Source organism: Homo sapiens, chromosome X, assembly GCF_000001405.40.
Source record: "Homo sapiens chromosome X, GRCh38.p14 Primary Assembly".
NCBI lineage: Eukaryota > Metazoa > Chordata > Mammalia > Primates > Hominidae > Homo > Homo sapiens.
In genome coordinates, this window is record NC_000023.11 from 13,451,845 (window position 1) to 13,479,247 (window position 27,403).

At 41.7% G+C, this 27,403-nt stretch overlaps 2 annotated features.

Moving 5' to 3' along the window:
- Positions 19,550–19,689: an enhancer, noted in NCBI's record as "active region_29438". NCBI's record gives its function as "activates an Ori minimal core promoter by ATAC-STARR-seq in GM12878 lymphoblastoid cells {active_cell/tissue: GM12878}" and the evidence as "EXISTENCE:reporter gene assay evidence [ECO:0000049][PMID:35858748]".
- Positions 21,809–21,858: an enhancer, noted in NCBI's record as "active region_29439". NCBI's record gives its function as "activates an Ori minimal core promoter by ATAC-STARR-seq in GM12878 lymphoblastoid cells {active_cell/tissue: GM12878}" and the evidence as "EXISTENCE:reporter gene assay evidence [ECO:0000049][PMID:35858748]".

Below are 27,403 nucleotides of genomic sequence, written 5' to 3' on the forward strand. Positions count from 1 at the left end.
ACAAGTTATTATCTTCTTCTCAGGGAAGCTGTAATTAATGGTGACTTGACTTTATCCAGAAGCTCAGGCTGGCTTGAACAGCTGTTTTACATATAAAAACGGCTTGCAATGCAGGAGAAGTTAGGGCAATGAGAAATCAAAGTCATAATGCAAGAGGAAAGTAAGAGTTCACATAGGTAAAGATTGACGGCCAGGTGTGGTGGCTCATGCCTGTAATCCCAGCACTTTGGGAGGCCAAGGTGGGCGGATCACTTGAGGCCAGGAGTTCGGAACCAGCCTGGCCGACATAGCAAACCCAGTCTCTACTAAAAAGTACAAAAATTAGCTGGGCATGGTGGCACATGCCTGTAGTCCCAGCTACTCAGGAGGCTGAGGGAGGACAATCACTTGAACCTGGGAGGCGGAGGTTGCAATGAACCGAGATCACACCACTGCACTCCAGCCTGGGCGACAGAGCGAAACTCCATCTCAAAAAAAAAAAAAAAAGAAGAGAGATTGACAACAGATGAGTCCTGGTGAGTAGCAGCCTTAGTGAGTTCATGTGTTTCCTATTTTAATTGCTCTCTACTCTCTGAACATACTATTATATGACATCACTTTCAACAGTGTCGTTGGCAAGCCTTCTCTCACTGTCTGTTGGCTCTGCTCTCTTTCGTGTTCCCTGCATCCTCAGGCATGCTCGTCGTGGCCACAAGCTTTGCCAAGTTACGTCTTCACAGGATAGCAACCCTAGTCAAAAGAGAACTTTTGTCTCCCAGGAGTTGAAATCCAAGTCCAGGGATTGGGTTTAATAAAAGTGACTTTGGTCTTGCCTGTCCCCAAGTCATTCACTCTTGTGTAGAAAACCCTGATTGTCCCTGGGAGCTAGAGTGGTGTCAACCTTACCTAACTCTTTTAAACTGGGGAGTGGCACAGGGGCAGTCCCTAGAAGACAACCGAGGGGAAGGGAAGGAAGCTGGGAAGTACAACCGCAGAGGTCCACTTCAGCCTCTCTTCACTGAGGAAGTGGACGTGTCTGCTTTCCTGAGAGGCAGGAGCAGTGTCCCACGTGAGCCTTCATTTTTAGATGCTCAAGTATGAAGCCAAGCTGGGTGTAGTGGCTTACACCTATAATCCCAGCACTTTGGGAGGCTGAGGCAGGCAGATCACTTGAAGCCAGGAGTTTGAGACCAGCCTGGACAAAATGGCGAAACCCCGTCTCTGCAAAAATTAGCTGGGAGTGGTGGCAGGCGTCTGTAATCCCAGCTACTTGGGAGGCTAAGGCAGGGGAATCGCTTGTATCCAGGAAGTGGAGGTTGCAATGAGCCAAGATCATGCCACTGCACTGCAGCCTGGGGAACAGAGAGAGACTCCATCTCAAACAAAACAAAACAAAACAAAACAAAACAAAACAAAAGGTATGGAGCCAATATGCAGAGGTCTTTGAATGGCAAGAAAATGAGAAAGAGCTTGGACTTTTCTGTTACTGATAGAGAGCTAGTAACAAGGCTTTGGAGCCATGTATTGGTGTAACAAGATATTTTGAAGGAATTGAATTCGTTTTATGAGGAAGTTTGAAAAGCAGGGAAATCATTTCAAGCCTATTGAAGTAGGTCAGAAGTAGGGTGATATGAATAGGGCTATGAAACTGATGGGAAGAAAAGTACTTAGGTGACAATCTTGTGACTCCAGGAAGTTAGTAAACATGTTAGAGACAGACGCCAACTCCATGCATTCATTCATCTGGGCTGGAATTGATATGCTGCAGGTTTAGATCTGCCTTGCTTGGCTGGGACACCAACCACTGAATCAAGCTCTGGTCCTCAGCCTCCATGGGCACTTCTGCTCCCTTAAACCCCCAGACTCCTGTCCCACTCTGCTTCTGGGCCCAGGCTCAACCTGGATCACCAATGTGTGCTTCTGCCTGATTTCTGTCCCCCAGAGATGCTTACTTTATCCTTAGTGTGGTGTTATGTCTTTTAATATTATTTTTGTATTTTACTTAAAGTAAAATGTTTGGAGCCAAGGAGCCCTCAAACTATCAACTTACAATGCTATCTTCACCAAAAGTCTGCCCACTTATTAAGAATTTCCCTGAGCATTTCATAACATGTTCCCATCCCGGTTGCCTAATGTTACTTCTTTGTCTTTTTCAATAGTAAAGGGAAAAGCAGAGAAACGATATATATATATATAATGTGTATATATATGTATAATATATATATAATGTGTATATATGTATAATGTATATATAATGTATATACATATATAAATATATATAATGTGTATATAATGTATATACATATATATAATGTATATATAATGTGTATATAGTGTATATACATATATATAATTATATATAATGTATATACATATATAAATATATATATGTATATACATTATATATAATGTATATACATATATAATTATATATAATGTATATATAATTTAATTTGTAAAGAATTTACTTTTGAAAAATAGTTGGACAACTTTTATATATATATATATAATACGTGTTTAAAAAAAAAACTGATTACAGCCAGAGCTGTAACGAGTCATAGTACAGTAATTTTCAAAGCTTGTTCTATGATTTGTGAATAGTGTGCTAGCAGTGTAATGGAGAGGACATGGAGAATTTTACTAAAAATATGAGAAAGCTTATGGTTTTCATTAGTGGAAGGAATGAAACTAGTGTAGTGTGTCCTGGAGGGGAGAGAAAGTGCCAATCAGTATTACCATTGAGTTTGCTACTTTTGTTATCATTCAGTAGCAGGTCTCGCTAGGCAATTTTCAGATGTATACTAAAAGGGATATGACCCTCTACCTGGTGGCAGGACTCAACGGCTGTCCTGTTGTATCCCCATTAGTGCCTTTGGCTTTTGCTGTCTGTTCACCCACAATATACCTGTGTGGGTGAGCTTAAAGGAAGGAAAAAACTGGATAGGTTATATCGTGGGTGTACTTTTGCAAATGTGGTATTTCAGCAGCCTGGAGAATTACCAAGGCAAAAGAGACGATTCTGCAGGCAAATTTAATTACTTTTAAAGAACGAGCAATTCCAAATTCCAAGCCTCAGATGAGGTTCTTATCTTCTTTCTCAGGCATTTAAACAGGTTGCTTTCACTTGGAAATCTTAGCTTAGGGGAAAGAATTAGAGATGATTTAGAGTTTCTTGAATTTTTTTTTAAATTACAGAGGTACTATAGGCTTTTAAAATATATTCAAAACAGTGATTTAGAAATTATAAAACGTGAGTCTTCGGCTTGCCAAACGATTCCTTCATCTCATTTTCTGGGGGAAATTGTTAAAGAGCTTTCAGTTCATTTACTGGGAATATATCTATACATCTGTAATTACATCTGTAGAGCAGTAGTTCTCAGCCAGGGGTGATTTTGCCCCCCAGGGGACTGTTGGGAATATCTTGAGACTTTTTGGTTGTCACAACTGAGAAGTGCTATTGGCTGAGTAGAGGCCAAGGTTGCTGCTAAACATCCTACAACACACAGGACAGCCCCACGGCGGAGAACCATCCTGCCCAGAATGTCGAATGCCACAGTTAAGAAACCCTAACCTACATATTTTCTTCATATAAGAAAGCATGAAATAGGTACGATGTTATAGAAAATAATTCTGAGAAGTAAAGCACCATTGTTTCTTAGACGTTCTTATGGGGACTCTACCCACTAATGATCCAGAAGAATTTTCTTTCTCTTTTTAAAAGTCTTTAAATAATTTTTAGAGCAAGCATTGAAGTAACATTTACTCCCAATTCCACTCACTCAGTTAGGCAAAGGTCATCTTGCTGATTCGGCCAGGTTGTACCCTACCTTGGGGAAAATCAGGACAATAGGTTGGAAGCCTGAAGCTGCTTAGATGAATAGCTCCTTGGCCATCACCAAATCAGGATAGGATGTCACTGGGGACAGGGGGTCCTGGCTGGGACTAAACGAGATTCGAGGCACAATTAGCTCATAATGACAATTACCTGCTTAATAGCTAGAAAAAGCCAGCAGTCCCATCTGCACCTACCTCCCACACCTCCAAAAGACATGGTGATTGGATGCCTTTCTGCTTTATAATAAGCCCTTTATGCTTATTTTGATCTGCCTGTCACTTGAATAAAAATGTCAGGAGGTGGAAAAAACAAGAAGTTTGAAAGAAGCAGAACCTAAAGGTTTTTTCCCCCTAGGCTGTTCCACAGTGTGTGCTGAGAACCGCATCCCAGTGTAGAAATTCCTATCTTGGAAGAGGGAAGACTCTTTGAGTCCAAGTTCACGAATATAAACAAGGCCTACTCTGCCAATGACAACAAGATGGTTGCCTCTCAGAGACTTCCTTCCTTTGTTTCTTTCTTCCTTCTTTCTTTCCTACTTTTTTTCCTTTCTTTCTTCCTTCCTTTTCTTTCTTCTTTCCTTCTTTCCAAAAAATCATATCTTAGAAAACCTCAAACTTCTTAGAAAATGAATTATTGGAAAAGTACAAATATATAAAATTTAAAAATTTTGGTATGCACCAGTCTACATAGTGGAGATTATAGGAACAAGACAGAAGAATCAAGTTTAAGGCCATTCATGGTATTTTGAAAACCTCATTCTATAAATAACATGTATACTTCTATTTCAAAATATATTAAGTCATCAATTAGCATCTTGTCACCAATTGATATTTATTAAGAAATTAATGGAGGCCTAGCATTTTGCTAGACACAATGCATATTTATTCCGGGCAAGTAGACATGAAAATCTTTCCTGTGGCCTTTATCATATGCCATGATTCATCATGCATGAAATCTAAATATTCTTTATCCTGAGCTTAATTTGAATCTTCATCATTGAAAACAGGTGCGTGATTGAAGAGACAAATGCAGTACTATGAGTAGGGCAAGCAAGCTTTGATTCTAAATCTCACCATTAGCTTGCAGTAGGACATGGCTGCATTTTCCTGGGACAAAGACATCCAAAGTTTACCCCAAGATAATATCATTCATGACACCTTTCTCCCAGATTTTTGCTTCCTCCTTTTGGCTTCTAAGGAAATCAAAGGAAAAACAAATATATTTTAAATCCAACCGTTTCCCATTACTCTCACTGGGACCCCCTGGTCCCAGCCTCAGTCTTCTCCAACTCAGTCAGTGCAACAATCCCCTCAGCTGTCGCCCTGCTCTTGCCCTGGCCTCCTGCAGCCTCTTCTCTGTGGAGCGGGCAGAGGGATTCTCTTAAGAAGGAACAAAGATCATACCACACCTCTGCTCAAAAACCTCCAGTGGCTCCTCATTTCACTCAGAGCCAGTGCCCCGTCTTCGGCCACTGTCTGCGTAGGGCCTTTGCACATGCCATTCCCTCCATCTGGAGGGCCTCCTCTCCCTAGATGGTCAGGACTTCCTTTTAGCTCTAGTCTGTTTCATCCTGTAGGCCTTCACTAACAGCCTCCCCAGCAACTTCTCCGCATTGCCACAGCACTCCCTGTACTTTTTCTTGGAATGTTTTCTCCATGCCACTTATAACCCACCCAAGACACTTTCTTTATTTGTGTATTGGTTTACTATCTGTCTGCCCTAATTGAATGAAAGTTCTAGGCAGGCAAGAATTTTTGTCTTTCTAAACTACTATATCCCCCATGCCCAGAACTATATCTGGTACAAATATTTAATGAAGAAAAAATAAAAACCACCTGCTTCAATCAGTGCTTCTGTTTTTCTAACCCATTGAAAAGGACTACAAGTCCACCCAAGCATGAGGAATGCTAAGCAGATTAGGATCCATCCAGATTTCCTTGTATCCAATTGCACATTAAAAATCTACTAGCGGCCGGGCGCGGTGGCTCACGCCTGTAATCCCAGCACTTTGGGAGGCCGAGGCGGGCGGATCACGAGGTCAGGAGATCGAGACCATCCCGGCTAACACGGTGAAACCCCGTCTCTACTAAAAAACTACAAAAATTAGCCGGGTGTGGTGGTGGGCGCCTGTAGTCCCAGCTACTTGGGAGGCTGAGGCAGGAGAATGGCGTGAACCCGGGAGGCGGAGCTTGCAGTGAGCCGAGATCCCGCCACTGCACTCCAGCCTGGGCGACAGAGCGAGACTCCGTCTCAAAAAAAAAAAAAAAAAAAAAAAAAAAAAAAAAAATCTACTAGCCAGGGGTGGTGGCTCACACCTGTAATCCCAACACTTTGGGAGGCCGAGGCAGTTGGATCTCTTGACCTCAGGAGTTTGAGACCAGCCTGGGCAACAACAACAACAAAATATATATATATATAAATTAGCCCCGTCTCTTCAAAAAAACACAGAAATTAGCCGGGTGTGGTAGCACGTGCCTGTAGTTCCAGCTACTCAGGAGGCCGAGGTGGGATGATCACTTGAGCGCAGGAGGTCGAGGCTACAGTGAGCCCAGATCGCACCACTGCAGTCTGGTCTGGGCAACAGAGTAAGACCCTGTCTCAAAAAAAAAAAAAAAAAAAATCTACTTAGGGTTTTTGATTAGGTTACTAATGACAAAATATTTTGATAATTAATACATACTTGCAGCATGCATAAAAGTGCGACCACATGCAGTAAGCATGTGCAACTAACTACACATACATCTAAATCAACTTCATATTTACAAACTCTAGTTTTACCACCAATAAATTCAACTCTGAGGTATAGGCAATGTTTTGCTAACCTGCTGGAGAGAGGACCAAGTATCAGTTAATCTGGCAAGAATTTTTTTCTGTTTTATGCATTACTATTTCCTCAATGCCTAGAACTGTACCTGGTACAAATATTTAATGAAGAAAAAACAAAAACCACACCTCTTCAATCAATGCTTCTGTTTTTCTAACTCATTGAAAAGGAGTACATGGCTACCTGACGACAAGCATATAGCCCAGCACTGTCTAACAGAAACCTAACAGGAGCCGTATTTTAAATGTTCTAACCCTGTCTCTAAAAAAACAAAACTAGTAGTTCATTTAAAAAGTAAAATGAAAGAGGTGAAATGTGATTTTAGTAATATATTTTCTTTAACCTCATATATAAAAAATATTATTTCAACAAGAAATCAATATTAAAAGGATTAATGAGAAACTTGGCATCCTTTTTTGCACTAAGTCTTCAAAATCCCATGTATATTTGATACTTAGAGCATGTCTCGATTTGGACACATTTCCAGTGTTCAGTGGGGCTGCTGGCTACCATATTGGATGGCACAGACAGAAACATTCTCTGTTAACTGCCTCAATGGCCCATATTAATGTTACTATTAACTCATTCAAGCCAATCAAATTTTTGAGTGCCTGCCATGTCTCAGGAAATATTCTAAGGTTTAGGATACAAACAGAACAGACAGATTTCCCTTCCTATCCAGAATTTCTATTCTAGTCAGGAAACATGAACCATGAACAAAGTAAGGAGTGAAATATTTGCAGCAGGTAAGATGCTGGGCAGTGCTGTGGAGAGGGGTTGTAGGGAAGGGCCTGGGGTGGGGAGGACCGCAACTGTCAGAGGATGATTCTAGGAGGCCTCACGGAGGCAGTGGCCCCTGAGCTGCCTGAGGGAGGTAAGGGAGCAGGCTTGGGACATGGAGAGGAAGAAGGCTTCAGGCAGAGGAACAGCAGGAGCACAGACCCTGAGATAGGAGTGTTTTTGGAGTGTCCAGGGATCTGCAAGAGGGCAATTGTGGGCTGGGGTGGGGACAGCAAAAGGCAGCATGGAAGGTAATGAGGTTGGAGAGAGAAGGGGAGCAGCGTAAGGGCTTGGTGGAACTTTGGCTTTTGCCCTGAACAAAAATGGGAGCCTTGAGAGGGTTTTAAATGGAAGGGTCATAAGACCTAGATTTTACTAGCACCTTTTGGTTGAGCCCATACCTTGCTGCAAATCCTTGTGCACTCCTTTTTTCCCACCATTTCCTTTTGCACATTTGCCCTGGGCTGCAGCACTAGAATGCTCTGCAGAAATGTGGTTGATCTCGTCAAAGAAGACCCTCATCCTATCCTCTGTTCTGCAGCAGCTCCTTCTTTGGCCATTTAGCCATGTAGACAGACAGAAGGACTATACATTCAGCTCTCAGGAAGGCCGCCACGTGGGAGGAAAAAGATCAGTTCTGGGCAATGGCTTCCATAAAGCAGATGTCTCGTGGAAATCAAATACACCTCCTCCCCAGAGTGCATTCCATTTGTTCAGATTAAAATATATCCTAGCTGAAACTAAGACTTCATCCTTCAAAGGCCTGCCTCCATGTTTCAACATGGAGACCATGAGAAATGCCCTCTAGAGCATCATTTTCGTTTGTCGGTGGTATATAAAATAATGTTGTATCCTACAATATCTATATATTGTGTCTTAGATTCAATAAAATATTGTATTAGCCCATTTTATAAATAAACTGAGGCATGGAGTGGTTAAGATACCTCCCCAAGCTCACACGGCTAGTAGGGTTACTGATGGAAACTCAGAGACAGAATTCAAATCCAGGCACTCTGACCCTAGAGCCAACATACTTCACCTATACTATCTTGGAAGGTAATTATAACAAGAATAAACATAGTATTTCCTATGCTTAGCATGGCATTGGTGAGATTTAGTGAATCGTATGTAACTAGGAGACAAACAAGTCCCTATTCTCTGGGGTCCAGACCCAGCATGCTTAACCTACACTACATTACTTACACAAACTTAGCATTCTACGTTCTGTGGGTATACCTTCTCTGATCATAAGATGATATGAATTAGAAAGTTCACAGGAGCAACAAACTCAATTGCTTTTTGATTATAAATTCTAAACAGCAGTGTGCTGCATTTATCCAACTGGTGACTGAGCAGAGAACTGGTACATACTTTACTTACTGATGCAATGAGACTGCTTTCCTTAGTAGATAGAACTCATTCAACTCTGGATTTAATCCATCCTCTGCAAGGATTAAAAATGGAATAGGGAAAAGTGAAATGGAGAAATTAGGAGGTGATTAGATTTTTTATTAATATAGAATGGAAATAATGTAAATTCTGGAGGCAAACTGAGCACTTATGGTATGAAAAATTGTAAAGCTGTTTCAACTGCTTCTTAGATGGTACCCTTTTTATGTACTACCAGAAAATGCAGAAAAAAGAAAGAAGGAAGGAAGGGAGGGAGAGAGGGAAGAAAAGAAGGAAGGGAGGGAGAGAGGGAGGAAGGAAGGGAGAGAGGAACGAAGGAAAGATTTGTTCAGGGGTAGGTTGGAGTTAAATATGATGTTTACTGCATAGATCACCATCAAGAAAAGAGGAAATTAGCTTAAACAGATGAGATATATACAAAAATAATTACAGCTCACAAGTTTAAACTTTGCTCACCAGGCAGCTCTTTGAAATCCTAATTTCTAACTTGGGGCTAACAACCAAAAACCACTTCTCATTATTTAAGAAATCAGGGTTTGGACTCCAGTTGCCTCACATTCTAAATTCAATGTCAAATGACAGAGTTACCTGGTTTAAAACATACTCGTTCTTCCTTTCAACATTTTGATATCAGCTGTTTTGTGGGTCATGAAATGTAGCAAAATCCAGAAAAGTTTAAGTCTGTTGATAAGGTAAAGGCAACTTCTGGACCAACTGGAAATTTGTTGGCTTGGATTTGACTAATCATTTCTGTATATTCAGTTACATCTTATCTCTGTTTGTGTGGTCACATGGTATACTTGAAACAAAAAAGAATGATTTTATCAATTGAGATAAATAAAAAGGGACAAAATACATAGAAATCTTCCCAGAGTCAAGATCCACCTTGTAGAACTTGAAATAAAAATGATGGCAGAGGACAAGAGAATAGCTATCATTTATCTGACACTGACTGCCACATCATCTCATTGAATTCCTACCATAACCCTCTGAGGTAAATATCATCATCATTCCCATTTTACAGATAAGAAACTCTATCTCAGAATGGTTAATAATTTATTTAAGGCTACACAACTAATAAAAGGCAGATCAGGCTTCAAACCATTCTATCACATGTGACTCACTATATGTGTAATTATCTCCAAACATATGAATTTCAAAACATATCTGGCCACAATGATTTGGGGTAAAGGATCATTGGCCTGTATTTTATTAAGATTCCCACTTACATTTCTAGTGGTCCAGGAGTTAGATTTCAGTGAGGTAGAAAGTCCTGTCATGAGGTAATAGAGTTTATTTTCTGCTATGAGGTCAGATAACTATGGTGTTTTTCAGAATTTGCATCATTAGAATTAACTACATAAAGGTAGTGCCTACCCATATAGAGATGAGTATTTTTATATTTTAGAAAAAGACAATACAGTGTACATAATGTCTATTATTAATTCCCTCAGCAGGTCTTGGGGTAGCACCCTATAATCAAACACATTAACATTTCTGCAATGTAATGTATGAATATTCACCCTAAATGGGAAAAAGACTGTAAATAGCCTCTGGATAATTGAAGTCAAATTTTGCTAACAAATCACTGATGAAAAAACACTTCAGGTTTTCAAAGCATTTAGATCATGGAATTGTGCATAAAGAACTGTGAACCTACGTATTACATACTTCTTTGCCTTTAGAAAGAGGATTCTGAGCGATATCTGTCACTGGCTCCAAAAAGTTCTCCCTTTTAAATAAGGCAACTTCTCTGAACAAGATTAAACAGGATAAATATTCCCTTCCCTGCTTTCCATATAAATATACAGTGCAATCAGCTTCCAGTCTATGGGGCCCCTTCCCCAGCATATGCAGCTCAGCTATGTACCACCCCCTGTGAGATCATGAGAGCTTGGGTGGATAGAATGTATACAATCTGCTTTTTACTTTTCTGGAGTCTTCTCTGCAACCACCCTGGTAAAGCCTATTTTATATTTATACCTTCTGGTGCCAGTGGTGTATGCATCTGTGTCCCCTTTGCACAAGACCACATAACCACTTACCTAAAAGGAACTAGAAAGTTCATCTAGCCTAATTCTCTATCATAGTAGCCTCTAAGATGCCACAATGGAACCAACTGCCTGGTATTAACACCCTAGTGTAGTCCCCTCCGACTTTGTACCAGTGTTGGTTCTTGTGATCAACAGAATACAGGAGAAATCATAATACATTGCTTCAGAGATTAGGTTATAAAAGACACTGTGTGCTTTTGCTCATGCTCTTGCTCTCTCTCTCATCACTAAGCTCCAGGGGAAGGGAAGTGGCAGTCATGAAGACACTCAATCAGCCTTATAGAGTCCATGTGGTAAGGAGTTGAGGCCTCCTGCCACATGAGTGAACCATGTTAGAAACAACCTCCAGCCCCGGTCAAGCCTTCAGATGACTGCAGCCCTAGCTGACATCTCAACTTCAACCAAAAGGAGACCCTGAATCTGATTCTGATTCAGTGGTTCTGACCACTCAGCTAAGGTGCTCCCCAATTATCAACCCACAGAGTAAGTGTTTGTTGTGTTAAGCCACTAGATTGTGTGAGTATTTTGTTACACAGCAATACATAACTAATACACTCTCCCATTTCACAGAAGACCAGATGGTATCTTAGAGACATCAGGAAATGCTCCAGAACCCTCCCAGTTCTATGACTCCTAGGGCCAGCCCAGCTCACTTGTTATGTGGAATGGGCAGAAGGCCTCTTAATTTTTTAATTTCCCAGGATCTTCTATTTTTTCACATAGATACTGGAAGCCCCTGGAAAATCTGGCCAATAACTCAGCTGTGAAAAGAAAAGTTTAGCACGGATGTCCTGATTCAGAAGGGATGCTTCCCACTTGTTAAATTTCCCAAAATAGCCCTTGTTTGTAGGCTTGTTTTTCAGGAGTGACTTTTGTTTTTTCCTATAATGGTGAAACTTTCTAGACTGCAGTTGTTAAGTCAGGAAAAATGAGAAAGCATTTAGCCCCTTTCCTTTCCCTGGCGTTGAAGAGCATGTTCTTAATGACTGGGCTACTCTCTGAAGGGTTTTATGACAGTATTGACTCTGGCCTAGCCTTCCTGATTGCGTCAGACCCCAAAGCTGCAGCTGTCCTCCTGCTTAGGTTACGTGATGAATGATTCCATTCCCTGTTCTAATGCTGACTGCCTTCTCTCCCCAGCTGCAGTTTACATACAGGATGTATTTCCTGTCTGAAGCCCCCATCTGCCTATCATATTTCCATATGCCACATGCTTATGTGTTTTAGGTACAGATGGAGACATTAGTCATGTAATTCATCACATGGGAAATTCACAGGCTGGCTATTTTATTTCAGTTTAAGTATTAATTTCTACCTTTGCTAGTAGTAGAAAAATCCCAGAACATCAATGAGAATTTTAGGTAAAATATCTGCCACCATTTAATATTACTGGATCCTTCCTTTTAAGGTTAAAATGAGGCATGACACATCCAAAGTTATAGAAAAATACACAAACCTAGTATGGTAGATTAATTTTAACAATGTCCCCAATTCTTCACCCCTTTGTTCTTTCACCTGAAACTTTGCTATGCCTCTTTCTAAGTAGGCAGTGTCTATTCCCATCCCTTGAATCTAGGCTGCCCTTGTGACTTGCTTTGGCCAATAGAATATGGCAGAGGTGACTGCGTATCAGTTCCAAGCCTTGGCCTGAAGGGATCTTGCAGCTCCCATTCTTTCTCTTGGAACATCACATCTTGCATCCACCATGTTAACTTGCCCAGGCTAGCCAATGAGCAGCTGACAGACATGTGAGAAACCCCAGCCAAGATCCCAGAACCACTGACTTGACATACATCTGATCACAAATGTGTACATAAACACAGCAAAAATAACCACTCAGGCATCTTATAGACTCATAAGCAATAATAATTGATTTTTATGTCACTGAATTTTGGGATGATTTGTTATGTGGCATTATTGTAGCAATCAGTAACTGATGCACATGGGCCAGTTTTTGTTGCTGTTGTTTGTATTTTGTGGCATGCTTAGGCCCCCAGGCAGAAGCCAGGCTATGAGAGAGGCTTTCCAGAGAGGGTATTTTCCATATCCTGTCTGAGGAATGTAAACCTGGCTGACTGAGATCCCAGTTGAAGGGAGGGGCTTGGGTACTACCCAACAGTGTGCAGACTTCTAGATAATCTTCCTGTTTCCAGCACAGTACCATTACCCTTGACTGAATTTAGTTTCCTTCCAGAGTCTAGTCCCACTGATTCAGCATTTCCAGGGTACAAAACTCCTACCCTCTGCTGGGGGTTCTAACTGCTTCTTATACAGATGTTTAACAAATCTGCTTGCTTTAAGCAGCACTTGCCTTCCATTTTCAGAGGTGTCTAGTTCCATGAATTCCTGAGCATTTGCTGGGGGTTCTTGTTCTGACTTGAGCTGGTTTTCAGCCTTCCCTACTGCCAGGTTGGAGTTCTCTGGGCAGATGAGGCAAGACCTTAAGGCAGAGCAAACCGTCAGGCTTCCTACCATTTGCACAAGGTCAGGGAGAGGCTAGGCTGGGCTGGGTGGGTTCTTGAGATCATAAGTAAGGATGACCCACAGGGAGAAAGAGGCTTGATTAAAGCAATGTGAGGGAAAATAGCTATGGAAGAGATAGTGATATGGTTTGGCTCTGTGTTCCCACCCAAATCTCATCTCGAATTGTAATCCCCATGTGTCATGGGAGAGACCTGGTGGGAGGTGATTGGATCATGAGGACAGTTTCCCCCATGCTGTTCTCGCTCACCAGAGTTGATGGTTTTAAAAGTGTTTGGCAGTTCCCCCTTTGCTCTCTTCTCTGTTTTGCCTGCTACCATGTAAGACATGCCTTGCTTTCCCTTCACCTTCCACTTTTTTTTTTTTTTTTTTTTTTTGAGATGGAGTCTCACTCTGTTGCCCAGACTGGAGCGCAGTGGTGCGATCTCGGCTCACTGAAGCCTCCACCTCCCAAGTTCAAGCAATTCTCCTGCCTCAGCTTCCTGAGTAGCTGGGATTACAGGCACACACCACCATGCCTGGCTAATTTGCTAATTTTTTAGTAGAGACAGGCTGGCTTTCACCATGTTGGCCAGGCTGGTCTTAAACTCCTGACCTCAAGTGATCTGCCCACCTCAGCTTCCCAAAGTGCTGGGATTACAGGCGTAAGCCACCGCACCCGGCCTCAGGTAGTATCTTTATAACAGTGTGAAAATGGACTAATACAGACAGTCTTTAAATTTAGCTTCAGCAGAACTTTCAGGGACTAGCAGAAAAAATGCTAATTTGAACCTGATGAACAAAGACCTGCATTGATGAAACCTCACAACCATTTATATCTCACATCTTCCCAATTCTATCACAAAGACCTAAAGTTCCTTTATGCCCTAAAACTATCAAAATGTATTTTGGGGCCTGAGTTTTTCCAAAAGTTGAGTTTCCATATCACTGGTTATGGTTAGATTCCATGTGGGAACTGGTACCTGCTTAGCATTTTAATTAATTAGTATTCTTGTTTGTGGTTTTCTTTTTCTTCAAAAATATTTCCTGAGTACTGTGCTGAAAAATGAACAAAAAAGAAAAAATTCATGCTCACTGCAAAGTATAAATTCCCCAGCTCTCTTCCTCTCATAATTCTTCCTCCAGAGTTCTTTTTTCACTGGCTCTGATTCCTCAAATAATCATTTGAAAGTAAACGGTATATGAAGAGGAAAATATGTCCCACACGAAGGTGATCATACTACCTCTCACAAATATCTATTGAGAGATACACAAATTGTTTGGGATTAATTACACATTGTTGTTATAGTCAGTGCACTCTTGATGTCTTATAGGCTTTTGTGGGGTCATCCAGGAGACCCATGCTACAAGGTCTGACAGGATTTTTCCCCTAGCTGCTCTGCATATCCACAGTCCTCTGACCTCATTGCAGTTCTCATTTGCAATGTTTTCTTAAATAGGTAGAAATGTTTCCTGCTCATTTTGCTTTTATACATTTGGCAAATACTATCTTGGCTTCCTCAGTGATCTTGTGTCTGGGTCTTCCCTCATCTTGGAACCAGAGCTGGCATTTTAATTATCCTGTAAATTCTGACCCCATTTCAAAGTGTAAGCTACCACATGATTTATTTAGTTCTTTTTCTTTTTTTAAAGGTAAGTGAGGGGTAGTTTGATAAATAATTTTTTAAGCTTAGGGGTTATTAGAATGTTTATGCTATATTTACTCCCTGCCTTGATACATAAAGTATTCTAAATGGCTCCATAGATCTGCTAAGATGAAATAGGTATAAAACTTAAAATTTGGGCCTTGCAAAAATACACATGGACAAAACCAAGGGAAAAATAGAAAAAAAAATTTATGCAGGCTCCACTCCAAAGATGAACCCAAAATTTGGCACTGAGCTTTCTTATGGCCCACTCAAAAAGGGAAAATATAGTCAAGTGCTTGATTCATGTTGTCTAAGAAATAAAGCTTGCCAGTAATTCTGAGGAAATAAAGTTTTTCCTAGCACATAGAATCTAGAAGAACGTTTCCATGCAGGTCTTCACATGGGCCACATCTTCATCACTTTTAGAATAAATGTGATTGCTGCTGTGCTAGGGGTGTTTATTAAAAGATCCCTGTGTCTGAAGCTAACAAGGGTAAATATCAATGCACTTCCCAGCAAAAGTAATTTTTCATGCAGGCCTCCGACAATGTGATCTAAATGTTTAGCTCTCCAGTGGTCTGCCAGGAATCAAATGTAGAGTGTCCAGATATGAATAGTCAGCTCATCCTTAAAATAAACTTCCATTAATATCATTTCTCTCAACAGAGTTCATCTTTTCATCATAATGTGTTAAACCAGGAAATATCAGTAGACAGTTCTGCAAAGGCTAAATGAAAAGGAAATTAGCTTAATTTGCAGTGTAAGACTTTCAGGTTTGTTACAAAGAATGTTGGGAGAGTGAGAACTGGCTTTTACAGTGGATTCCTATGAGAACAGATTTTTTTTTTCTTCCACACAACACTAGTGGAAGATTTCTTTTATTTTTTTTTTTTCTTTTGTTTTCGTGACAGAGTCTCACTCTGTCACCCAGGCTAGAGTGCAGTGGCACAGTCTTGGCTCACTGCAACCTCTGCCTCCTGGGTTCCAGTGGTTTTCCTGCCTCAGCCTCCCAAGTAGCTGGGATCACAGGCATGCGCTACCATGTCTGGCTAATTTTTCTATTTTAGTAGAGATGAAGTTTCTCCATGTTGGCAAGGCTGGTCTCAAACTCCTAACCTCAAGTGTGATCCACCCACCTAGGCCTCCCAAAGTTTTGGGGTTATAGGCATGAGCCACCATGCCCATCTCATAAGATTTTCAAAAAATAAGGTTTTTTTTTTTATCATTAAATCTTAAAGGATGGAAAAACCTGCATAAGGCCCTTCCTAATCCTACAACATAGTGATTGTGACAATTCATTTCCATTGTGTGAAAACATATGACATTTAATGATGATCGTCAACTCCTATGCGGGGTAGGGTGAAAGGCGCGAAAGGAAACATATTAGAAAAAGTGGCTCCTGGCCAACCCAGAGGTGATTTCATTTGGGGCTGGCTCAAGTTTCATAAGCCTAGAATCAAACTTGCAACCATCTGTTTGAGGTTCTGTGGGAACCAAGAATTCCAGAGCCCAGGGAAATGGGAGAGCATCCTAGGAATAGACCCTTCACTGAATCTTGTTTCCACTTCATGATAGAAAGCTCCCTAGAGCTGCCTTTCCCCTTGATTTTAGGGCTGGAGGAGGAGCTTAAGAAGCACCTTTGGAGCTCAAGCTTGGACTTCCTGTGGCCCTTTCCCACAGAAGAGCTAACTCTTGGAATGAGATCTTTGAACATTCCATATGAGCCTCCAAAGACCAAATGATCCAAAACAATTGCAATAGATCTGTCTAACGACCATATTGAATCCACCACCACTTCCAGTGTCAACAAAACCAAACTGCATACTACACCAGCAATTCTGTCTGGTTAAAAGAAGACCAACCATCTTCCAGTTTCTCTTGCCTAGAATCTCTCTCACCTAGCATCAATCTGTAGGAGACTGAATTACCAACTAGTCAAGGAAACTTTCAAAAATATAGGTGGGATGTGACAACTGTGGATATAAGTCTTAAAGCAATGTGGAAAATGGGCTGCCCAAATTGGAGTAACTTGCTGAGAATGTTCTCTCCATATGCCCAGCCCCACAGGTTCATCTACAAGAGGAGTATCTCTGATGTGAACTGCAAATTGTCTTGGGTTGGGTTCCTCAGAAACAGAGCATAAGATGGTGGTTCTTGGGCAAGTAATTTATTGGCAGATGGCTTGCAGGAGAAATCTGCATGGGAGTGAGGGAAGCAGGATTGGAAGAAAGCAAGGATGTGGTTTCAGGAGAAGTCCAGCATCTCTCTGCCTAATCACACTGGGAGCTCTGGAACATAAATAGGATAGTGGAGTCTGTCCCATCTTGAGGCAAGAGGGCTTTGGTAACCTGCATCTGTCATTCATTGGCTTCCAGCCACCCTGCATTCATGTGGGTGAGGGAGACCCCAAAGCATCTTCGGTGTAAGCAGCTTCAGTTGCTCAAGGACAGCTTCAGGAGCAGGCTTCAGGTGTGAGCTCTTAGCTGCAGCACCTATAGCAGTTTAGTGAAAGGAACCCCAAGTGTATCAGGCAAGACATCAACAGCAGCTACTAAACTAGCACTTCTCAAACTTGAGTGAGCACCGGAGTCCTCTGGAGCACTTGTTAAACACAACTTGTTGCACCTCACCCAGTTTCTGATTCAGTAAGTCTGGGATGAGGCCTAAGAATTTGCATTTCCAAGGTGATGCTGATGCTGCTAGTCCAGGGACCATGCTTTGAGAACCACTGTGCAAAGCTAACATTTTTTTAAAGCAATCAATTGCCTTTGGAAAGCTAGCTCATGGACATGTTCACTCACTCGGTCTTCGTGCATCAGCATATTTACAAAGGTTAAATAAAGTGAGGTCTGATTATCAAAAAGGAAGACAGGTTGATCTTATCAGGACATTGACTCAGTTAAACAATTGCCGCCTTCTGAACAGCACCATAAACCCCAATTCTCTAAAGAGAATGTCATTAAAGAATGGAGGCGCTGGGTGCCATTGCTCACGCCTGTAACCCCAGTAATTTGGGAGGCCAAGGTAGGTGGATCGCCTGAAGTCAGGAGTTCGAGACCAGCCTGGCCAACATGGTGAAACCCCATCTCTACTAAAAATACAAAAATTAGCCAGGTGTGGTGGTGCACACCTGTAATCCCAGCTACTCAGGAGGCTGAGGCAGGACTATCCCTTGAGTCTGGGAGGCAGAGGTTGCAGTGAGTCGAGATGGTGTCACTGTACTCCAGCTTGGTTGACAGAGTGAGACTCTGTCTCCAAAAAAAAAAAAAAAGAGGGGCTGGAGACAAACCAGCAGTCCAGCAGTTGAGTGGGAAAAAATGCTGACTAGGGAGTTAGGAGGCCTGGGTTCTAGTTCCTGCTCTTCCCTGAGTGGCTGTGCAGTCACTGGAAAGGAACCTCAATCTGCTATGCTTCAGTTCCCTCAAATAAGTTGTTCTACCAGTATTTAGCTCTGGGACCCCAGGCAAGCCACATGGGTCATAGGCCTTAGTTTCTTAATCTGGTAAACGGGTACAGTGCACTCAGTAATCCCTTTGGCACTTCCACCTAGCCTTCTTTGAGTGTTCTACCCGGAACATATTGATGACCTAGAAAATGAATGCCAAACACTTTCTCCCCATCTGAAAAGAGTTGGTAAAATGCAATAAGACCTAAAAACACTTGTTTGAATTTCCTTTGTGTTACAAAAAGAGGAAACAGAAAGAGTCACTGCTCTCGTGTTAGATGCTATCATTTGATACAATCACATTTCCTGGAATCTTATGAACTGGGATCACCAATTGCCAAGATGACTCAGAGGGCCTAACAGATCACAAGACTGGGGCAACTCCTCTAACCTTCAAGGCTTTATTTTAATCCTCTGGGACTCCACATGGAAATCCATAATAGTTTCTTCAAAGAGATGTGGTCCATTGTATGAAGGCAACTTGGGAATCCCTAATGAATGGATTAGGAGCACAATGGACTGCATCACACAAATGGAGGCACTCCTGTTTAAAAATCAATACACTGAGTAATTCAGAATGGGCGCTGCAATGCAGACCTTGAAGGTCATCGTGAAATAGAAACTACTATGCATCCAGTCCCTCTATTTTTCATATCGATGAAGGAAAGTCACACAATGTGCATGGAATGCAGAATTTTTCTTTATTGAGCTGTTCAGTTGGACCTCAACTCTGTGTGTGTGTGTGTGTGTGTGTGTGTGTGTGTGTGTGTGTTGGTGGAAATATTAGTTTGGTGCAAAAGTAATTGCAGTTTTTGCCACTGAAAATAATGGTAAAAACTGCTATTACTTTTGCATCAACCTAATAAATAGTGACAGACAATAAATGTCTATTATGTGCTATGTAAAAGTAGCCACGTGCAAAGTGTGATGAAGGAAAAGCAGAGTAAGGAGGGTGGAGAGCGCTGTGCCAGCAGGACTCTCTGCTTGAGAGTCAAACAGGACTCCCAGATGCAGAAGAACTTTGAGCAGAGCCCTGAAGGCAGTGAGGGATGAGCTCTTTGGTTTCCAGGAGAAACAGTGTTTCAGGCAGAAGGGACAGCAGTACACAGCCAGTGGAATCCTTGAGAAACAGCAAGGCCTGGGAGCTACAGCAGAGTGAGCCTGGGGTGAGGGGCGTGCAAGGACATCAGAGCAGATGGTGAGAGGAAGGCGGGCAGTGCATGCTGGGGCCTCACTCCAGTGAGATGGGAGCCCCCTGCAGGGTTTGGGGCACCAGAGTGACATGACCTGATGCTCCTTTGGAAAGGATTCCTCTGGCTATATGTGAAGAATATGTTGTAGAGAAAAAAGAGAGGGAAACAGGAGACGAGTGAGAGGATAAGAATCTAGGCTACTAAGATGTGGCTTAACTGGCTGATACCCCTGCAGGCGAAGAGATATGTCCATATTTCGGAGGTCGAATAAGCAGAATTTGCTAATGATCTGGATGTAGGATGTGAAAGAAAAGAATCAAGGATGAATCCAGTGTGTTTGGTCTAAGATACTGGAAAAATGAAGCTGCTGTTTGCTGAGATGTAGAAAACTGAGGAGGCCAGCATGTGTTAATAAAAGGAGGGTAGAAAACAAGGATTTGATTGGGAATACTCTAAATTCAAAATGTGTAGTAAACACCCTTGGGAAGATGGACACATGAATTCAGAGTCCAGAAGAGCGGTCTGAGCTACAGACATAATATTGGGTGGCATCAATTACATACTCCACTCTTTCTAAGTAACAGCATATTCTAAGCTCCAGTGGTAAATAACATATTCCAGCCAAGAATACCTAGATTTATAATAGTACACTTTTCTAACATAAAGAAAATCTGTAGACAAGTAAAATACAAAATTATAATGGTTTTAAATGAAGCATCTTCAAATAAAACCTGTGGGTATAATTCTGTAGCCAGGACAAGCACAGCTCAACAATATTCTGAGGGTCAAATTAGTTCATAAGCTAGACCCAGGAACAACTAGACCTCTTCCATCTGCACCTCCATGCCTTTGTGTAAAAAAGGATTGGGGAAATTGGGCTTCATCAAAATTAAAAATGTTCGTGCATCAAAGGACATTTATCAAGAAAGTGAAAAGACAACCTAAAGAATAGAAGAAAATATTTTCAAATCTTGTATCTGATAAGGGTCTAGTATACAGGGACTCATATAAAGAACTCTTAGCACTCAACAACAAAAAAGACAAACAGCCCATTTAAAAAATGGGCAAAAAACTTAAATAGGCATTTCTCCAAAGATATACTAAGATATACAAGCTTCCAAAAATATGCTCAACATCATTAGTCATTAGGGAAATGCAAATCAAAACCATGATGAGAGATTACTTCAAACACACTAGGATGACTATAATCAAAAGAATAAAAAATAACAAGTGCTGATGAGGATGCAGAGAAATGGAAACCCTTGTACACTACTGGTAGGAATGTATAATGGTGCAGCCACTGTGGAAAACAGTTTGACAGTTCCTCAAAAAGTTAAACAGAGTTACCATATGATGCCACAATTCTGCTCCTAGGTATATACCCAAGAGAATGGAAAACAGGCACTCAAACAGATAAGTGTACACCAATATAAATAGCAGGACTATTCACAATGTCCAAAAGGTGGAAACTATCCATTAACAGATGAATGGATAAACCAAATGTGGTATATACATATGACGAATATTATCTGGCTGTAAAAGGAATGAAATACTGACACACACTACAACATGGATGAACCCTGAAAACGTTATGATAAGTGAAAAAAGCCAGTCACAAAACATCCCATATTATATGAATCCATTTATATCAATAGGTAAATTCACAGAGACAAAAAGAAGAATGGTTGCTGTTAGGCGCTAGGGGGCGAAGGAAGAATAGGGAGTGACTGCTTAATGGGTATAGGGATTTCTTTGGGGGTGATGAAAATATTTTGGAACTAGACATAGGTGGTGGTTGCACAGTATTGTGAATGTACTAAATGCCACTGCACTGTTCACTTTACGATGGTCAATTTTATGTTATGCACATCTCAGCTCAATTTAAAAACAACTAAAAACTTGAAAAGATCAGTGAAAGAAAAAGTTTTGAAAAGCAAATGTCAGAAGAGGAGCCCCCCTCTGCAGCAGGGAGCTATTCTTCCAGAAGTTCTCATAAGTAAGCCCTGGGTAACTCTGATACGGACTGTTAAGTCAACAAAACAATCTCCTTTATGCCAGAGCAGCCAACACTTTCCAAAAGAGCAAGCATCGAAAAAAGTTGGCTGTTTCCCTGGTTTACGTCCGTTGCATTTATGTATTCTGTTGCTTACCATGGTTGAAGTGTTTTGAAAACAACTTGTAACCAACTAAACAAAATAGCCTGATTCTTTGTTTACCAGAAAGAGAAATGAAGGCAACTGCAAGGCAGAACTGAGAAAACTGTGCCTTTGAAAGCACAGACCGTACAGGGAGGGACATGGCTGCTATTTTCAGACTTGTGTGGGTGTGAGGGTAACAGGCCTCTGGAAACAGCTGTTTAACAACAGAATATGAGAAGTCTCCCAGGACTCCAACACCCACCCTCTACAGTGAACCAAGGGAAAGTTCACGAGAGCCAGGGGAGTTCAATACATTGAAAACAATCCGAAATGGGGATTCAACACTGGGGTTTCAATGAGCTGCAGTATTTAGCAAGGCTTTGCCCGCTCTGTTCAAAAGAACAACTCCAGGAAACTGAAAAGCCAAACCAGAAACAGACATGGTGTACTTGCTGAAAGAACTACCCTCAAAGCCGTTTCTGCAGGGATCCAGCCTCCCTCTGGGGGCCTGACAAACTGCCTGCTTCTGGAAGGAAACAGGCTTAGGTAGAGGGACAATTGACTCTTGGGCAAACTTTTGTTTCAGGATCCAACATTAAATGCAAACTCTTTGTTACAATGAAGGAAAGAAGATGGTTTGGAGACTGAACTTGCTTTCATTTTTGTTTTAATGAATCTTGATACGCACTTTTCACAGCTTGTCCCCATGCATTGGAAAGTAAAACCAACCCATTTCCACCCAGCTAGAGAGAACACACTATAAATAGGACCCAAATGGTGGTTCATTAAAAGCTGGATGACAAGCTGAACCGTGTCTTTTTGTTTTTCCCTCAAAAACTGTACGTTCTAGTAAGGAAGACGTCTTGTAATTTAAGGTACAGTTATTCTAAGAATGCTGTATATTTAGCCATCCTTTGGTGAACATTTTTAGTATTTGTTCATTCTATCATTCACTTAAAAAAATCTATATTCATTGCTTGCTGCATGTTAGACATCATGCTAGGCGTGGGGGTAAAGTGATGAGCAAAACAGACACCACCGTTTCAGGGAATAAGTGACGCACAGAGGGATACAGACAACTACTTATCCAGTTGAGGGCTGAGAAGGAAAGGAATATTTTCCATCACCCAAGTTCAAGATCTCCTTCCCCAGTTTTTTATTTTCTGTTCTAAAATTAAACTCTATCCCGGATTAAATACAGTGGGACCACTCCCTAGAAACATGGGCCCCCCAAATCATCAGAAGGCAATAGTCTAATTATCCATTTCCCAAGGTCATCAGGATGATTCAGAGTTAAATAACGGCAGTGGTCCAGGCTGAAATAGAACTCATGCTGTCAGGCCTTATTGCAGTTCTCAGGTTCTTCCCTTTGGATGTCCTGCAAACAGCTCCTAGGACGAGAACACACGTGCATCCTCCCAAACATAACTTACAATTAAATTTACTGAGAAAAGTAGCAGCTCGTCCCCTAAAAAACTGTGAAGTCCGCAAAGACATAACCCAGCTAAAAGATGCACACAAATTATATTACTAAAATGTATGCAATGTATGCAATCAAATTGAAATAGGGAGATTTCCCAGTAAAATCTAGTTACTTGACCACAGCAAAGGCCTTCCTCAATAACAATAGATACCACTTGCTTTATATTCATATAACTAAAAGAAAGTTTTCTCAAAACAAAGGGATAGTTTGCCTCAAATATAAATCCACATCTCCCTCTCTTATGTAGCAAAATACACACCCCCAACATTTAACTACCTATTTGTTCAGTATTTGTTCTTTGAGGTCCCCAAAGCTGTGACTAAGGTCCAGTCCTAACCAGGATCACCTTATTATACTGGTTTACAAGATTTGCAGGTGGCGCAAAGCTGAGTGTGGGACGGGGAGTCTCTGAAAGAACTCTGATCAAAGTAAACCTAAATAAGCTGAATTCAGACACCAATGTTACCCAGATGACAGGTAACCGCCAACTCAGGGTCCTTCACTTCAGGCGGAAAATATTAAGTGCAAAGGGATCAGATTGGGAAGCTGTCATCTAGTAACAATACGTAGGACTTGAGGTCTAAATTGACAGTAAGTTCTATATGAAATAACAACTTAATGGAAAGATCACAATTTTGGGGATTACAAAATAGGGTTCCCATCCTCTAACTTCTATCATACACAGTTCCTTTAAGCAACATTACTATCGCCATTTAAGGGTATTTTCTCTCTTTTCAACACTTGAAAAACACAAATCGTTCTTTACATCTTAGCATGAAATTAAAATATTGAATATTTGGGTTGAAGTGGTGGAGAGGCAGCTGTCTTGAGGTTAAATGGTCTAAAGCCAATGGAGCACAACTGAACAGTTTATCACAGCAAACAACATTCCTAAATGTAAATTTCAGAACGGCTATGGGAGATTGTAGGGAAGCTTGGGGACAGGGTTACACAGGCTGCAGAGCCTCCATTAAAAATAATTTGTATTAAAAAATAAAGACACAATCTTATTTTTACAAGGGGCAATAAATATGTATGGCTGGTTTTATTGACTTTCACTCAGAATGGAGCATGTATGCTTTGGAATTCCATTCTGTAAAGTTTCATTGGTAGTTGATAAGTCAGATCTGAAACCAGAAATTCACGCACACTCTCCTCTTCTTTTAAAAAGAACATTGAATATGCCAGTGTCCAGGGTTTTCTCTTTCGTTGTCATCCTCTCCAACCCTTTCTTCTTCTTCCTTCTAATGATATCAATCCCAAACAAATACCTTGCATTTGCTGCCTTGTACTCTTGCAACAAATACTTTGCCTGTGTTGCAGAATCCTTTTAGGAAAGCTTGCAAGCGGACAGCAGAGATCAGAACGGGACACTGGGGAAATCACCTGAACTGACACCTCACTCAGGGTGCCGGACAGCTTTAGGGAGATTAATCTCCGTGAAGCTGTCCAGCAAGACAAGAATGATGACTGACCATTTACATACTGGGCAGCCTTCCCATCTGGGTCATCAGCCTGGATTTATTCCCAGTTGTCAGGAACCCCAGAGGAGGTGACCTCCATTCAATTTGTCATGGACAACTGTTCTGATCACCCAGACAGCCTTCTCAATTTCCCTTTGGCTGGGGGCATGAGAATGATCAAAGACCAAATAGGTGCATGTAGAGTGGCCTCCATTCTATCCCTAATGGGATAATCCTGATGATTAGAGTCAGGCCTCCAAGAGATCATGGGCCATCTTTGATAGATTCACCACTGATGCCTGGACATCCAGAACTTTCAGAGATGATAAATCAGCTCTGAAGGAACAAAGGCTGGCACTATGAAACAAAAATGGGTGAAACATCAGTGCGACACTAGCAATGGTGCAGCGTAACAGAGTCAGGAAACACACCCAGTTCTTAAAATTCTGATGTCAAATCTGCTGCTAGCAAGAGCGTTCTGATAAAGCAGTTAACAGTTCTGTGCATGGATTTCTCACCAACTCTATAATCACACCACCTATTTATCCCAAAGGAGCAATGTCAGGTTAACCCCACAAACAAATCTTTTTTTTTTTTGTTTGTTTGAGACAGAGTCTCACTCTGTCGCCCAGGCTAGAGTGCAGTGGTGTGATATTGGCTCACTTCAACCTCTGCCTCCCGGGTTCAGGTGATTCTCGTGCCTCAGCCTCCCTGGTAGCTGGGATTACAGGCGTGCGCCACCACACCTGACTAATTTTTGTATTTTTAGTAGAGATGGAATTTCACCATGTTGGCCAGGCTGGTCTCAAACTCCTGGTCTCGAGTGATCTGCCCACCTTGGCCTTCCAAAGTGCTGGGATTACAGGTGTAAGCCACTGTGCCCAGCCAGACAAATCTTATTTTAACACTACTTATTTATGCTTGTAAAGACTTTGCAATATCTGTACCAGGCAAATCTAAGGCTGTTTGCTCAACTATGAAAGTGTATTTTCCCTTACATGGTCTCCTAGACCTTAAACAACCTTATTACATTACCCATATTCACCAGGTACTTTACTTTTAAAATAATTCTCATTTAGTTTTCTCATCAAACTTAAGTGGAAGAACTTTTTATTACCAGTTAACAGAAAAGTTACGAAGGTTTACAAAGACCCAGCCAGTGAGTGGTAGAGCTGAAATCCAGCCCTAATTGGGCCTAACCCCAAAGCCTCCAAGACAATAAGACCACCTCTGCCAATTTTGATAAGGGGTAGTCTAGTTTCCGCTCTTCCATGGATGAAGTCCATAAATCCAAGAAAGCCTACCACCCAGAAAAAGAGATCATTTATCCCCACCATCCAGAATAAAGGCAGGACACTGAGGCCAGGCACTGGCACCCATGCACAGATATGGCATGAGCTGTCTGTGGAAAATCTTCCCCATCATTACCAACCCTACATCATGGGCTTGGAAATTGCTGAATGTCTCTTTAGGCAAGAGCTGACTTAATACTTTGGTTTCTTAAAGGCTGTCTAGGAGAAATCAGAGCACTACACAGAGCCTCCATCTACTGCCCCGGAGCTAAATCCCCTTGGAATATGTCTTAGCAGGTTTGCTTTCAACCCCTCAAATTCTTTCGCCTGAAGTCTTCTAGATGCAAGAAACAGATGCTCCTTCAGCCTCCTGAAATAAGAGAGGTTTAATACTGGAGTGCACCTGGAGCAGTGAAGGGAGATGGAGGGTCCTAGATGCCAAGATACTTCTCTGACCATCTCAGAGCCTGCAGGTGGAGGAGAATTCTAGAACCTCAGGCTGCTCTCCCAGTCCCCAGATCTTCATCCAAGTTCTCCACCATTAACACAACCCAGCTGGTCTCCACAGATAACCTCATCTGTTTTTCTGTGCCTGCAACTTGTGCATCCTTTCTGTATTACCAGTTCAAAATCCTGAAGGGTGAAATCTACCTGGCCCAGTTAATCTGTTCCCAGCAGGTCCCACCTTAAGGCTCTGGCTGGTCTCTGGGTTGACTGATTCCTGAGCCCATCTACTTGATGCGGCTTCCCAGATTAAGAATGGATGTTGAAAAGGAGTAATTTCCATGAGAAGAGCCAAGCTTTTCCGCATCCATGCCACGCACCAACCTCTCCCCAAGTTTTTCCTGATATGCGATTCTCACTATCGCTTCATTCCAGTCTCTTCTGATGTCAGCTCTTTACAAAGACCTTCCTTCCCTTCAGTGTCTCCACTCCCTGACCCTGCTTTCTGTGCCTCCGGGCGCTTGCAATGACCTGATATTCTATTTCCTCATCAATTGGCTCTCATGCCAATCTCCCCAAGAGAGCAGGAACTGTTATCTCCCCCAGGGGAATGGAATGGCCCTACAGGGAGAGACTGCCTGTTCTCTGCAGTATTTCCAGGCCCTGGTATGCTGCCTGGTACAGCTGGCACTCAGAAGCTTGGGGAGTGAATTTGTATTTCCCACGTCATCATGACTGCTTTTCTTGCAATAAAGATCCCAACTTCTGCTCTCACCACTACACCTGCAACAGTATTTCAGATATTTGATGCTGGAGATGGCGAGTCCTAGTATTTTACAGTTGGCACAGACTCTACAAGTCATCGAGTTTCCTCATATCAACAGATTGCTCAAAAGCAACACACGTTCATAGTCACCTACCAATAGCAAACACAGTGCTTGGCACTGGAGATAA